The following is a 13,996-nucleotide window of genomic DNA, read 5'->3' as shown; positions in this document are numbered from 1 at the left end:
ATGTGCCCATTTTTCTAGCCCAGCTTGGTCCCTTTGAGAAGTTGCCCTTGGTCCTGAAACCAACAGCACAATCCTGCCAGGTGCCAGTGTCCATGCAGTGAGCTCCTGAGCTGCCTGGTTCTACCTGCTAGTGCCTGGCTGTCTCTTGACTTATGTAGCTGAAATTTCTGCATTATCTCTTCTTCCATCTGCCCAATCGACATTATACCTATTATATCACAGGCTTGATTTGTAGTTCTGCTCCTTATATTTATCCTGTCACAGGAGCTAGCAGCATGTGCTCCAGAGTTGGACTGTGATGAAGACCTTGGAGAACCCAGTATCTCAGTTTTCTCAGCTCTAAAGTGGCTATCTCCATAGTACTTGCCTTGTAGATGTGTTGTATTAAATTAGGTAATGCATATACATCATTTGGCCTGGTGTTTTTGAGGTGTACACTCAATAAGAGGTACTTTATAAACATCTTGCCTCTCCCTTTGCATGCTAGTCTCCTTGTACTGACAACCTGGTGATCCCATCTGGGTCCCCTGATAAGACCTGGATAATATGACTCTCTAGTGTTCTTAAGATACTGTTACTAAAACCATCTTTATTTATTTATTTCAACTTTTATTTTAAGTTCAGGGGCACATGTGCAGGTTTGTTATATAGGTGAATTTGTGTCATGGGGGTTTGTCATACAGGTTATTTTGTCACCCCGGCATTAAGTGTAGTACTCATTAGTTATTTTTCCTGATTCTCTTTCTCCTTCCACCCTCCACTCTCTGAGAGGCCCAGTGTCTGTTGTTCCCCTGTTTGTACAGGACCATCTTTAAAGGCATTGGGACTCAATACACAATTTCTAAATATCATGGGAATTAGCAAATTAATTTATAAGTTTTTATACAGCAGTTTAATTCTGGGAATGTAATACCGTTTATTTCTGAACAGGAAATTTAATATCATCTACTTTTTATTGAGTGCCTAACATGTTCCAGCCACTTACTATAGGTGCTTATTATATTATTTCTAATTCTAGTAATAACGCTGAAAGTTGATACTATTGTCTCTGTTCAATAGTTGAGGCATAATTGAAGTCAAATGGGAGTAAGTAACAGACCGCAGGTCTTAAGGCAGATTCACTAAGTAGCAAGGTTAAAATTTAACACTCGGTCCCCATGATCCCCCAGTTTTTTGCTCCTTCTTAATCACCATACAACTGATATTAGAGTGAGTAGCTTTAGGCATTTACTAGAATGTTTGATATTCAATGAAAAAATTCTGAAGGTGCATGGACCAATAAATATTGTGAATATCCATGTGAAGTTTGTCACTCCCCCAAAATTTCATTCCTCTTCCCATCCTTTCCATTCCTCTTCCCTGCTGCTCGTGCTCTCTCTTTTTCTACCAGATGACAGATGACTAAACAAAATAATAAAATGTGAAGCAAGTTCTGTTTTGCCCATGGAGGTGGAAAGTGAGTGTGTATGATCCGTTGGAAGAATTTGGAGAAGATTCTCTAAGAATTAGGAAATCGTTACCTGACTGAATAAAGCATGTAGAATTATGATTATTATGCAGATGTGTATCTTGTTCCTGACAAACTATAATATAAAGCAAGTGTTCTGAAAATATGTTAATGAAAAGAAGAAAGTTACACAGGATGAGAAATTCACTTTCGCAATGCTTAATGTAAAGCTGATTATAATATTGAAGTCAAAATTAATTCAGTCTTAAGTCATTCAGATAATTGAATAAATAAAATTTATATTTAATCTGATGTAATTAGCATGTTTTTATATATCAATTTCAACAGAAGAAAGAAAAGTACCGCCCACTTTATTTTCCTATGGATCTGGGGTGGCAAAATAAATTTTCATCTCGTGTGTCTGCTACAGTCTCCCAAATGATTAGTTATTTATTCCTTGTCTGAATTTGCTGACAAGGTCACCCTCAGACCTTTGCAGGTGGCAGTTGAGAGAACTTCATAGTCACCTGACCTACTTCCAAGCTGTACCGTCTACATGATGCCCAGACACATTCGACTTCCCTCTTGACTTTCTCACTTGTTCTCCTTGCCTATTTATTCTAATTTTCATGTTATCTTGGTGTATTAGAGCTATAACTCATGTTAACTCTTTTTGAGAATATAATAGAGTGAAATAAAAATATAATGTAATAGACACTGTAATAGGTTTTCTGCAGATTACTTGAGCCTGGAGTGTCCCTGGTATGGCAAGGTTTCCAGTGGTAAAGAGCTAGATAAGATTTTAATCCCATCCAACAGGGGTGATTGATTCTAATCACCTCAGTTCTGTAACATTTTATGCAATGGTATAAGTCATGTAACCAAGCAAGTATTGGTGAATGTTTATATGTTCCAGATGTATCTATTTGTAGCCACTCCTATTTAAAATGTCCGGTTGGGTCCCAGATCAGAGAAACAATTATCATTATCTACAAAATGTATGCAATGCCAATATACTTTGAACAATAAGTACTAATAATAATACAGATTTCAAATGTAATATTCTTTGAAGTAAGCAAAATAGACAACTTGACCGTGCCTGTCAGGTTCTGGGGAAGAAAGTGCCCTGTACAACCATCTTGTTTTGCTTCTTTCAAACAATGTCGGAAGTTGAGGTGATAGCAGCATCAGTAGAACCTTTCTTTCATAGCTTAGTGTGAGTTTATTTGATCTTGAGGGGCCCATCTGGATATTCACCAGAGAAGTCTGCCTGTCTGCAAATGAACATAATTTTGTGTGTGGGCTGGTACAGCGTGGGCTACCACGAGCATGGGGACTGCAGCAACCTTTGGCTCGGGTGCATGTGAAGCAGGTGCTGGGCAGTAGGGAGGAGTTAAAACATCGCTTGGAATGTTCCGGCGAGGTATCATCATGTATGGGCTTAATAAGACGCCATGACAGCAGAGGATTCTTACTCTGTGGGAGCTGACTCTAGTCCCCTGTTAGGAGATGGCAGGAGCAGCTATTCACACATACTTGTGAAATAAAACTAAGTTACACTCACACAGAGCCGTAGTGACTATAAAGGCAGTGTACACAGCTAGACGCTTTTAACTGAAAACACAAATTTTAACAGAATGTTGGTAAAGACATGGAAAATGTAGTTTCCCCATTTCTTGTAAACGTGGTTTCAGCTCTCACATCTATCCTATCCTGTATCTGTCTACATAATGCCTGTCACATGTCCACCTTGAAATCCACAGGGTATTGTGGGTGGATCTGAGAACTGCTAGAGAAAATTCTGAGATGGAATCACAATGGCATGATGACTCATTTTTCTTTATGTGTATCTGTCTTCAATTTCTTTTTCTCGTGGCAGAGTTTTAAGGGGTTACTGGTATCAGGTCCTGAATTCATTTGCTAAAGGTAGCTGCGGGATTTCAGAAAAAGCAGTTATTAAAAATAGTTGGACATTACCAGGAGAAACATCACTCAGGTCTCCAGTGGTTGTGGTTCTGCAAAAGTGTGGAGCTGTGTTTGATTTAAAATAACCAAATCTTTTTCTGGAAGTGTGTGCAAAGCTAGAAAGTAAGCTTGTAGAGAAGAAGGCATATTTTTGTATATTTTTGGGCAATGCAGTACCAAGTTATGGTATTGGAGTGGTCATGTTTACTAACTACTGGGAATGAATTTCTCTTCCTAAGCTATACATGACTTGATGTGTTGCTGAATTAGAGGACTGGAGTCCAGGGACCATGGACTTGATTTTCTTTGCATTATATCACTACACCCTCTATTGCTAGCTACAGGGGCGTGTGTGCTGTTGCTGGGCAATAAATACCCATGGCATTAAACATACTGACAAAACTAAGGATGGAAAGAACAGAAAGACATATTCACATCTTTAAAAGTGTATAAGAATTAAACTTCTCTATAATATTTTTCTAGCAACTGCACATTAGAATTAGAAAGACAAGCAACCACTTTAAATTAGAATACACGTTTGTTTTCCCCCGCAGGGAAATGAAGTCAGGGGGTGCTACATACCTTCTCTGTTCTGAAATGGACACATTTATTTCTCAGTAAATAACTTTTTTGGGGGTAAAATTACATTGGCCACTGTAGAATTCAATGCTTTCCTTCTGCGTATTTTTTTTCAAAACATTAATATTTTCTCTGCCAACCTTTGAATTCAAATGGGTGTTCTCATGGCTTTGGAGCTTTTGTTTGCATCATTAGAAATCCTTTTAAAAATGGGTGAATTAATTTGGTGGAATTAGGTTAACAAGTCATATCTGAAGCGCACTGGTTTACATTGTGGTTTGTGGTGAGTTTAAAGGCGGTTTCGTGAGAAAACTCCAAGTGCTGAAAGCAAACCTTTCTCAGCCCATAGTGTCTTGATGTACTAAGCACAGAATTTCCTTTTGTGGTCTAGGGTGACCTGGCATTGGATAATAAATATCTGTCAAAAGATTTCCTGAGGTTGACTGGAAGCATCATTGACACTTGAAGTTGTTGCTTTCACAGCATTATACGGTGAAACCGGAAAACTTTTCTTTTTAGTATATTGAAGTCACGTCTCTTTGTAATTATCTCCTAATAGACAATAATCATTTAATCCCCTATTAACTCGAATACTCACACCTCTTTTTGTTGTGTGGTCCAAGAAGTTATGCATAATAACTTCTGCATGAATCTTGCATTTCTTTGTTTACTCTTTTATTATCGTGTTTGTCCAACATTTGGAGAAGAAAAAACAAAAACAAAACAAACCGATGACTCCCCAGTTATCAAAAAAAGTCTTGTTAGAAGTTTGAGAAAGAAACACTCACACACACACACACACACACACACACACACACACGCCCCACACGGAAAGCCACAGCATGCTCACATTAACTGTGGAAACTGTTTTCCATTAATGTGTAATCAAGAAGCAGGCAGGCCATTTACTTTGAAAAATAAAATAAGAAACCAGTTGCCCTCCCCTCCATGCCCTTCCAGATTAGACTAAGCCCCCACATTCGACAACCTGTTTGTCAAACTTAGCCTCTCAAAGAATAAATTCCCTTTTTTGTCGCAGAACCAGTAACAAATCAGGAGGGGTGGATTTTTTGTAATGAGTTAAAATATTCCAAAAGCTTAAGGCTTCCATTGCAGTTGACCTTTAAGGCATGTTGCAGCAACAAAGTTAATTCACTCTGCACATGTTGCACAGCAACAGGTGGTAGACAACCACGGGGCCTGTGTGCATTCCTCCGTTTGCAAACCCCTGGCCCCTGGTATTCTGGGATTTACACTACCTCCCCCAGGCCCTGACTGACAAGCTAATCGGTGTGCTGGGAAGCGCTGAGCTATTGATTCCACTGTAACAGAACACCACCCTGTCAATGAAACTGCAATGAAATGCTTCAGCAACGAAGAAAGGGAGGCATTCGACTGTTGAGCAACTGGAAGAAATTTGCTTGTAGGTAGTGCGGCAGAAATGAAAAAGCTCTCCGGAGCAGGGCCTTGAAAAGCCAGGTTATTAAAAAAGCCACAAAGCTGGAGTCTGGCTGAGTGGAGAAAAACAGTTATGGTTCAGTTAGGCGTATCTAAAAGAAGAAGGGAGGAGGGGGTGCAGCTTTCAAAATTGCATTAATCCCTCGAGTACTTAATTTCTTTTCTTTTATGGAAGCTTGTAGTATAGCAACAAGTATTCAAGCAGTTAATAATTTTAAACAGTTTAGCTTACCTTAGGCAATATATCTTTAGCCTTAATTAAAATTTTATTTTAGTAGGAAAAATATTAAAATGACATTAAGATCTATCCTCTATGATGGGACATATATGATAATATGAATATCTTATTAGACAAACTATTATTAAACAGTGGCTGGCATTTTCTCTCCTGAGTTTGACTTTAGTTGTCTGAAACGCCGTCACCATTTCTTAATAATGTCTCGATAGCTTCCTTCTGAAATATTTGAAAGTGCCACATTAATTGGAAACAGAAGCCAAATGCACATCCCATTTTTAATACATTGATGGGAGATCCATAAACCACACCTAGGTACTGGAAATTCATTGAGAGGGGTAGTCTTCTCACAGAAACAGTATTTGTGTAACCCCAAGTATTCATCACAAGCCACCAAACAACTTGATCTTGGTCATCCTGGTTAAATATTTTACACGGAAAAAAAATCACTTCTTTTACAGTCACAATGCTAAAGAAGAGATATAGAAGCTAAAACTGCTATATTTGCAACTTGCATAAGCTTTATCTACCTGTTATGTAGTCATGTGTGTGCCTGTGTGTGTGTGTGTGTGTGTGTGTGTGTGTGGGCGGGTGTGTGCATTCCCGAGTTTCTCTGGAAGTGCTTAAAGAGTTAAGCAGTTGGGTCTCATCAGTGTAAGGAATCTTAACGACAAAACAAATCTTCGAAAATTACCTCCAACCTGAAACTACACAGAAAATAACCATCAATTTTCATCTGTATTTCCATCTTTCATCTCTACATCTAGTACTGATCACTGTGGCATTGAAGTGCTCCTTCAAACTAATTAGATTAATTTCAATTTCTATTGTGTGTGAGAAGGACACACTTATCATCTCCCTCCCTGCTGAACCCAATAATTGATTGGATGGTGGCAGATTGGTAAGATCCTCCTCCTGCCAAGATGAAGGAAAGTCTGGATCAGGGGGTTATTGAGGATTCATTTTTTGAAGTCGGAGTTGTTGATTGTACTTGTGACTTTGAGGATGGAGTCTTCCAGTCTGTGGCATCTTTGCTCTGTGAAGAATTGGCTGTGCTGTGCCTTCTAAATATAGTTTGTGAATATGCATGCTTCAGTGGGCCATGAGGCACCTGGGAAACAGGAGCAGGGCAGACGTGTGTCTGTTGGCAAGAGTGGAAGGGGAACCAAGGGGAAGGGGCACTTAACTTGGAGTGAGGAGGTGTGGGTTTCTGTGCCGATTCTGTTCCTAACCAGCTGACGTCTTGAGACATTTACTTATCCTCAAAGGACCCAATTTTTTAAATCTATAAAATGGAGGAGGATTTATTCAATAAATATTCATGGAACCTAGCCACCATACAGCATGAACTGTGATAGGTTTTGAGGATTCAAAAGTGAGCAAAAAAGAGGGAGAGCTATGTCTTGAGCTGAGACGTGATAATTTAATGTCCAGGCAGAGCAAAGGGAACGTGCAAGGGAGGCAGGTGGGGAAGTGCACAGGACTGGAGGACGTACAAGGGAGGAGCAAGGGCAGCTTGCAGTGAGAGAAGGCTGCAGAGGGAGGCATATGGTAAGGGGATGGGGCGTGATCAGATTTGGGTTGGCAAAAGATTTGTCAAGAACTTGGTGGAAGAGACCAAGAGTGGAAATGGGTCAAGCAGGGGGCAGCTATGATAGTAAACCAGTCAAGAGAGGATGGGCATTACCTGCCTGAGAGCCTGGTGGGGAGGATGAGCAGAATGAAGAGATGCTCAGGAGACACTCTTGACAGCATATGGTGATGAGTCAGGTTTAAGATTCTAGAACATGTCCCCCAGTTTCTGGCTGGAATTACCCAGTGGACGGTGAAGTCACTCACAGACTGGGGACACTGGACTGGGACCAGATTTGTCATGCTCACAAATTTGGTTCAGGACACGAGTTTGAGAACAATTTGATTCACCAGAGAGGATGATGAGATGACCCCTAAACTCTCCAACACCTTTAAAATTCTATGATTCGCTCAGATGAATTTGTTGTAGGGAAGTGTATCCTGGTCACATTTGGAAGGTGGCATCAGGTAGTGGAAATATATCAGCTTTTATCACAGATGGGGCCCTAACCTAATTTGGCTGTTTTCTGGCTGAGGGATGTTGGTCTAGTTAATTTATCTCAATGTCAATTTCCTATTACGAATCAGGGCAATGCCCCTCCCTTTCATGGTTAACATGAGCATCAGAGATAAAGTGTACATTTCCTGCATGTCCCCAGACACAAGGAAGAGTTAGAATTTTTTTTAAAGAACTCGTTCCAAAGTTTGTTGTGATGAGATATTCATCCATACTGTCCTGTGTCAAAATAAACAATATATTATTCCAGACGATGGGGGTGGAATAATATATAAAATAAAATCTACTTAATAAGTGATTGTTCGCAGATAACAGTGACTATTTAACAACCCGGCTACCAGTTTGTTCAAGGGTCTTCTGTTCTATGTGTGGGGCTCAATGGAGTCAAGTTACAACACAATATTCTCCAGAGAAAATTCTTGAGTCTCTCTGATGAGGTTTCTTTTTGGCAGTAGTGGATAAGTAAGTTATATTCTCCCATGGGTGCTTAGGAAGGGTAGTTCCTGGAAGATGGCTGTGGTGCCACACACATACATCCCTCTCATACAAGAACACATGTCCTCATACCACCAAGACAGACTGATGGTGCTATAGGAAGAGGCTTCTTTCAGTTCTTGTATGTGTGTGTGATCATTCAAAATCTTGGCATTTAACTACTTTTATTAAAATATTGCCCAGTCTACCTCACAGCAGATCAACATTCACCATTTAGTTACCAAATTAAACTTCTTATGGCCATCCATGACTGTCAGGAGACAAGAGGGCGAGAGGTGTTCTATCATAGAAGTGTGAAGCTAAGGTCAAGATCTCACTTTTAAACTTTCCTTTGGAAAAATGCAAGGGAATTTTGAAAGGATTGAGGATTCTGAGAAACTTATTTCCTTATTTCTCCATGAAGATGGAATGATTATTTCAGTGTTTCTTAAGGCTTTTCAAGTTAACAGCTTCTAATATGTAAAAAGGTCTTGTACCTTGTAAATTCACTTATTCCCTCAAACATTGCAAACTACCTGCATTTCAATCCTAATTTGTTGTTTCATCTAAATACCATATAGGTTTTGCTCATTTAAAAAGAAACTCTATTTAAAAAGCGTCTCTGTTTTCTTCCAGGCACTTAAAAACTTATTACCTATCATCTCCCTCCCCTCTCTCCAAGTTTACTTACTTGTTAGCAAATTGGATCAGTTTCGTCAGCTAAAAGAGCTGTGGTCATGAACATAAAGCTAATCATTGTTATAAATACTTGCTTAACATTGCAAAAATTCTAAGGTTTCCAGAAAAAGTTTTTTTTTTTTTAAATAGGTAGGAATTAATTTGGATGATGCATTTCTACATGTGCTTAGAGTGCTTGAAATCTAATTTTGAGGCATCCACCTTTGGAAATGTTAGCATTTAAAAATACTTTAAAAATGTTGGGAAGATATAAAGTAGTGGCAGTTTGGTGAAATGAAGAACATTAGTATTTGCCTTTCAATTTAGCAGCTGCTTGTTGAGCACTTAAATGATCAATATCTTGGATCTATTAAGATGACCCAATCCTGCCTTCAGAGAGTTTTGCATTTTTTTCTTCTTTAAAGTGCAGTAAGAATGTGCTTATATGAATAATTGGCAGTTGAAAATATGCCAGCTTCATTCAATGTGGAAAAATTAAATTTGGCATTGAATCCAAGCTATTTAATGCATACAAATATGGTTTTCTATATATTTTGAATGATGTTGTCAAGTCTATTAGAGCCAACTCATTATTTTCTGTATTACTGGAAAATAAGGAAAGACTGAATAAATAATTTTGTTAGCCAATCATTTCAACATCTTGCCCTGCTAAGTTTTGAAGGGTCTGACCAATTTCCTGTCTCTACCTTGATCTGCCTGAAGGGTTGTTAATAAAGTTGTGGCCATGATCAGCAATGTGGAAGGCAATAGGGGATAGAGAGAAATAAGTACCTACTAGATAACTATTTCCTGAATAATACTGGGACATGTAGACACTGGCTGAGAAAGAGACGGAATCTGGCTGGCAAGCCAATAGAGCCTTTTGAGGATTTTGCTTTGATGGAGAATGAGGGCGTCTGTCAACATTTGGAATTCTGCACTATTTGGGGAATAACTCCTCTCTTCAGGTCCTATACATGTGTTCTATCAGCACCAAAAAGAAAAAGAAACGCTCAAGTTTATATGGTTATCAGCTTTTCCATTGGACTCTTCCTTTTCTTTCTTGCTAGAGTTACCAGTTTCTTGACTTTTGAAAACACAACTTCTGCTGGGTCTCTTTGCTTCCTGGTTTATCTCATTTTCTTTACAGTTCTTTGCTAACCTTGAATACTTATCTGTCTTCCTGTGTGCCTTCCCATTATCTTTCTAGAATTATTAACCTCCCTACCCACTATTCATCAGCTAGTGACGTCCCAAACCGTGGCTAGTCTACAGCCTTGCTCAGTCAAGAATCTCTTCTTACTAGAAATGGAAACAAACAAAAGCTTACTCTACAAAAAGGAGGAAAAAGGAGGAGAAAAAATGTAGACAGAGATGATAGAACTTGGGATGAGAGACTGTTGCAGAAAGTAGGAAAGAGGGCAGGAGCCAAGGCAGCCTCTTTCTCTCTTTCATTGGCTCACATAATTGCTCAAACTGAAAACTGCTTCTCTGAGGATCGATTTCATTTTCACATCTCTGGGTATTCTTCTTGCTAGTAACAAGCTTCCTCTGTTTCTATGAGTTTTTTACAACTTTTGAGTTTACCCGTCCTCGGTTGAAGCCAGCCACAGAGATTAACTTGAATTGCTAGTCCCAAATCTAAACCCTTAGATGACTCAATGAACTGTGGCCAGTGGAACAGGATCATTTATATTATAGACACATCAGATAGGGAGGCCTTCCTTATGGTAGAAGAAATTTCTGACTTTAACATCCATCCCCAAAGCATCCCTCCCTCCTATGCTCTAGGTCTACAATATTATATCCACCAAGAGTGGAATTCACCATCCTCCTATCTTCAAGCAGAGAATCCTGTCTCCCTTTCCCATTTCTACAAAAAGAAAAAGAAAATGGGCCAACACCGTAATTCCCTCCATTCTTAGGTCCAAGATCTCAGTTAATTGTAACCTATCTTAATTCAGAATTCCTTGTTCTTAGTTAATCACTATATCCCATAATCCTTTTAAAATGTCACATCGATTTATACTTTCTCCCATCTGCATATGTTACCCTAGCTCATGGTTTTTGTTTGTTTGTTTGTTTTTTAATCTGCATTACTGGATTTACTTCCCAGCTACCATGTCCTGTTTCCATCTTCTCCTTCACGTAAGCCATTCTTTCAAATGATCAGCCAAAAATTCTGTTACCTCCATGATATGGGACACTTAGGAATATACCTTGGGGTTCCGTTCCATAAAATCCACCTTTCCTTACTCAGGCTTCCAAGTTCTTCTTTCATTGCTTGGCTTTCTGATCCCACTCGTGTAAACTGGACTTCTTCTTTGCCTGGAGGCCTGGCCTCCTCACATCCGTCACCCCCAGAGATGTCTAGGTTTTACTAAGTTGCATCAATAAGAATGTTCCCTATCGTTATGGGCCTTAAATTTATGGTATTAATAAAAATGTTTTCGTTTTTAGTAAAATAGTATCTTTGTCTCCGTTTTACTGTATTTTCCATTAAAATGAAAATCTTCAGCTGTATTGATTGTCCAACTATTACCTTGCTTAACAATGATTACATTCTAGTTCTTCTCTCTAGAAGCCCACCATGAGGTTGTGTCTCTGAAATCAGTCACATCATCAGTATCCCCCTTTGGAAGCAACAAGTCTTTCATGATTATGTGTGAGAAGCTAAAGGAGGGTGGAACTTAAATAGACCAGAACCCCTGAAATATCCCAGAAAGATACCAGAGGCCCTGCACTAAATCAAGTTGTCTGCAAACCGTGGAGAAAAGTGAAGACATTTGGTTTTGGATGAAAATTAATTTTAATGTATTTAAAACCACATTCAACAATTATTTTCCACTAACGGTGAAACGCTAAATGGACGACTTCTTATTTATTACAGACGATTTGAGGTTTCATTCGAATAGGGCCTATGGGTCCGTGGCTTACTGTAAGCTTTAGATTAGCTGTGATATCAGAGTTGGCATGACCCATAGCAGCTGCTAATGCAACACATGCCTATCATTTGCTGTTGACAGGCATTAATAAAAACCTAATTTGAGGAAATTATGAAAAACCTACTCATTATGCAATCTGGTTTATGTTCTGGCATGTGGCAATCATTGGCTTGATAGCCGAGAAACCTTCATTTCCAGAATTTTATGGCCTATGTTTCAATTGCAGACCCAGCCAGAGCCCCCTCACCTCTCCCACGTGTTTGATCTTCTAATTGCCTCAAGACATATACACAGGTTTGCTTTATGATGCTGCAGGCTCCAGCTGAGCCCTGGTCTGATGTGCAGCGGAATCCAGTGTTGCCGTCAGAAATGGGTACTTGGCTATTACAAGAAACTTAATTCTGACCTGTCTATCAAGAGCATTCACCTGTAATCCCCCTCCCCCTCCTTTAACTTGTTCCTTATGGCCTCTTTGGACTTTCTAGTGGCTCTAGTAGAAAATATCCCCCAGTCTAGGAGAACAATTCCTGCTCGTATAGTCAGCTCAGACTACATATGTGACTTGTAGGTACCGTGTACCTTGACTATAGCTAATAAGTAACATTTAAGTCATTCCATTTTTGTTTTATTAAAAGAGACTTTTCTATAAATGGTATCCTCTCAAATTTTGACAAGGTAGAGAAAGGCAGGTTGGAAAGGGTTAAGAAAACCTTAAAATCATCTGACTTTATAGAGTCTGTGCTTCCTGCTCTCTGATGCTGTCTTTTTAAACATTAAACTTAAGAAAAAAAGTTGGCAACTTTGCATCTCATAGAAGAACTGGTTCTTCTCATTGGCCTTTGGCTAATGCCTCATAAAAGTTCCCAGATAAACAACTATGGCTAATTGTAACCTCAAGCTAATCAAACAGAATTGTTCTAGAAAAAGGTCTTTCTGTTGATCTGCCTTATCTTTTTTGACTTGTCAAAGGCCTCCCTCCCTTCCTTCCTTCCTTCTTCCTTCCTTCTTTCCCCTCCCTCCCTCTCTCCTTCCCTCCCTCCCTCTATTCTTCTCTCCCTCCCTCCTCCCTACCTTGCTTCCTCACTCCCTCCCTTCCTGGATCCTTTCCTCAATCTTCCTTCTTTCTTTCCTTAGTATCTGATTCCAGTTCTTCTTTCTCTGTCACGTGCATTTACTTTTATTTCAATTCAAAGTTTAACAATCTCAAAGCAGCTAAGTTGGACACAGAAAGCAGGTCTTTCTTTGCTAATGCTACAAGGTGAGAATGATTTGCTGGCCCCTTCAATTCAGAGGTAGAAAGCTGAACTTAATTAGGTATCACAGAATAAATGGAAGATCAGTGGCTAGACTCTCCTTGCATTGGCCAGTGAGTGCGCCCCTGTTGGTAGGATGTTAGCTGCCCAGAAAAGAAAGCATTTCTGCTCTTCTATTCTCACAAATTCCACCATTGGACATTTGTTCACTTGGCTCAAGACTCTATTTTTGTTTTTGTTTGTTTTGTTTTGTTTTAAGAGATAGGGTCTTGTTGCCCAGGCTGGAGTGCAGTGGTGTCATCATAGCTCACTGTAACCTCGAACTTATGGGCTCAAGTGATCTTCCCACCTCAGCCTCCTGAGCAGCTGGAAGATTAGGCATGCACCACTATGCCTGGCTAATTAATTTTTCTTTTTTTTTTTTTTTTTGTAGAGACTGCATCTTGCTATGTTGCCCAGGCTGGTCTTGGACTCCTGGCCTCAAGCACTTCACCAGCCTCAGCCTCCTGAAGTTCTGGGATTACAGGCATGAACCACCAAGCCCAGAAAAGAAAGTCCGTTTCTTCTAAAAATGGAGAGGGATTTATTGAATATATATCATAGCATGTCAAGACAGCTAAGATCATCTTAGTAGTCTCATTTTTAGAAAAGTCAACTTTATATAGGTATAATTTACATATAAAATGTATTCATTTTAAGTGTATGTTTTGATGCATTGTAATTAATGTAAATGATCAAAATGCTTAACATTTCAATCCTCTCCAATACTTTTATGGACCTTCCTGGAATTTGCTGTAAGTTCTTTTGTGTCTGGTATCTTGACTCCACATAATAGTCTTGAGATTCATCCATGTTTTTGCATCTGTCAGTAGT

The 13,996-nt window shown here is 39.3% G+C and overlaps 1 long non-coding RNA gene across 1 annotated transcript in view; it reads right to left on the bottom strand.

Annotated features, from left to right (window-relative positions):
- The window catches only part of LOC112268156 (uncharacterized), a 236,909-nt gene that overhangs the window by 185,280 nt on the left and 37,633 nt on the right, over positions 1-13,996 (bottom strand). The gene's annotated exons all lie outside the window — the stretch shown is intronic.

Source organism: Homo sapiens, chromosome 15 (assembly GCF_000001405.40).
Source record: "Homo sapiens chromosome 15, GRCh38.p14 Primary Assembly".
NCBI lineage: Eukaryota > Metazoa > Chordata > Mammalia > Primates > Hominidae > Homo > Homo sapiens.
The sequence above is the reverse complement of the archived record's forward strand: the minus strand, read 5'-3'. Positions and strand labels throughout refer to the sequence as shown.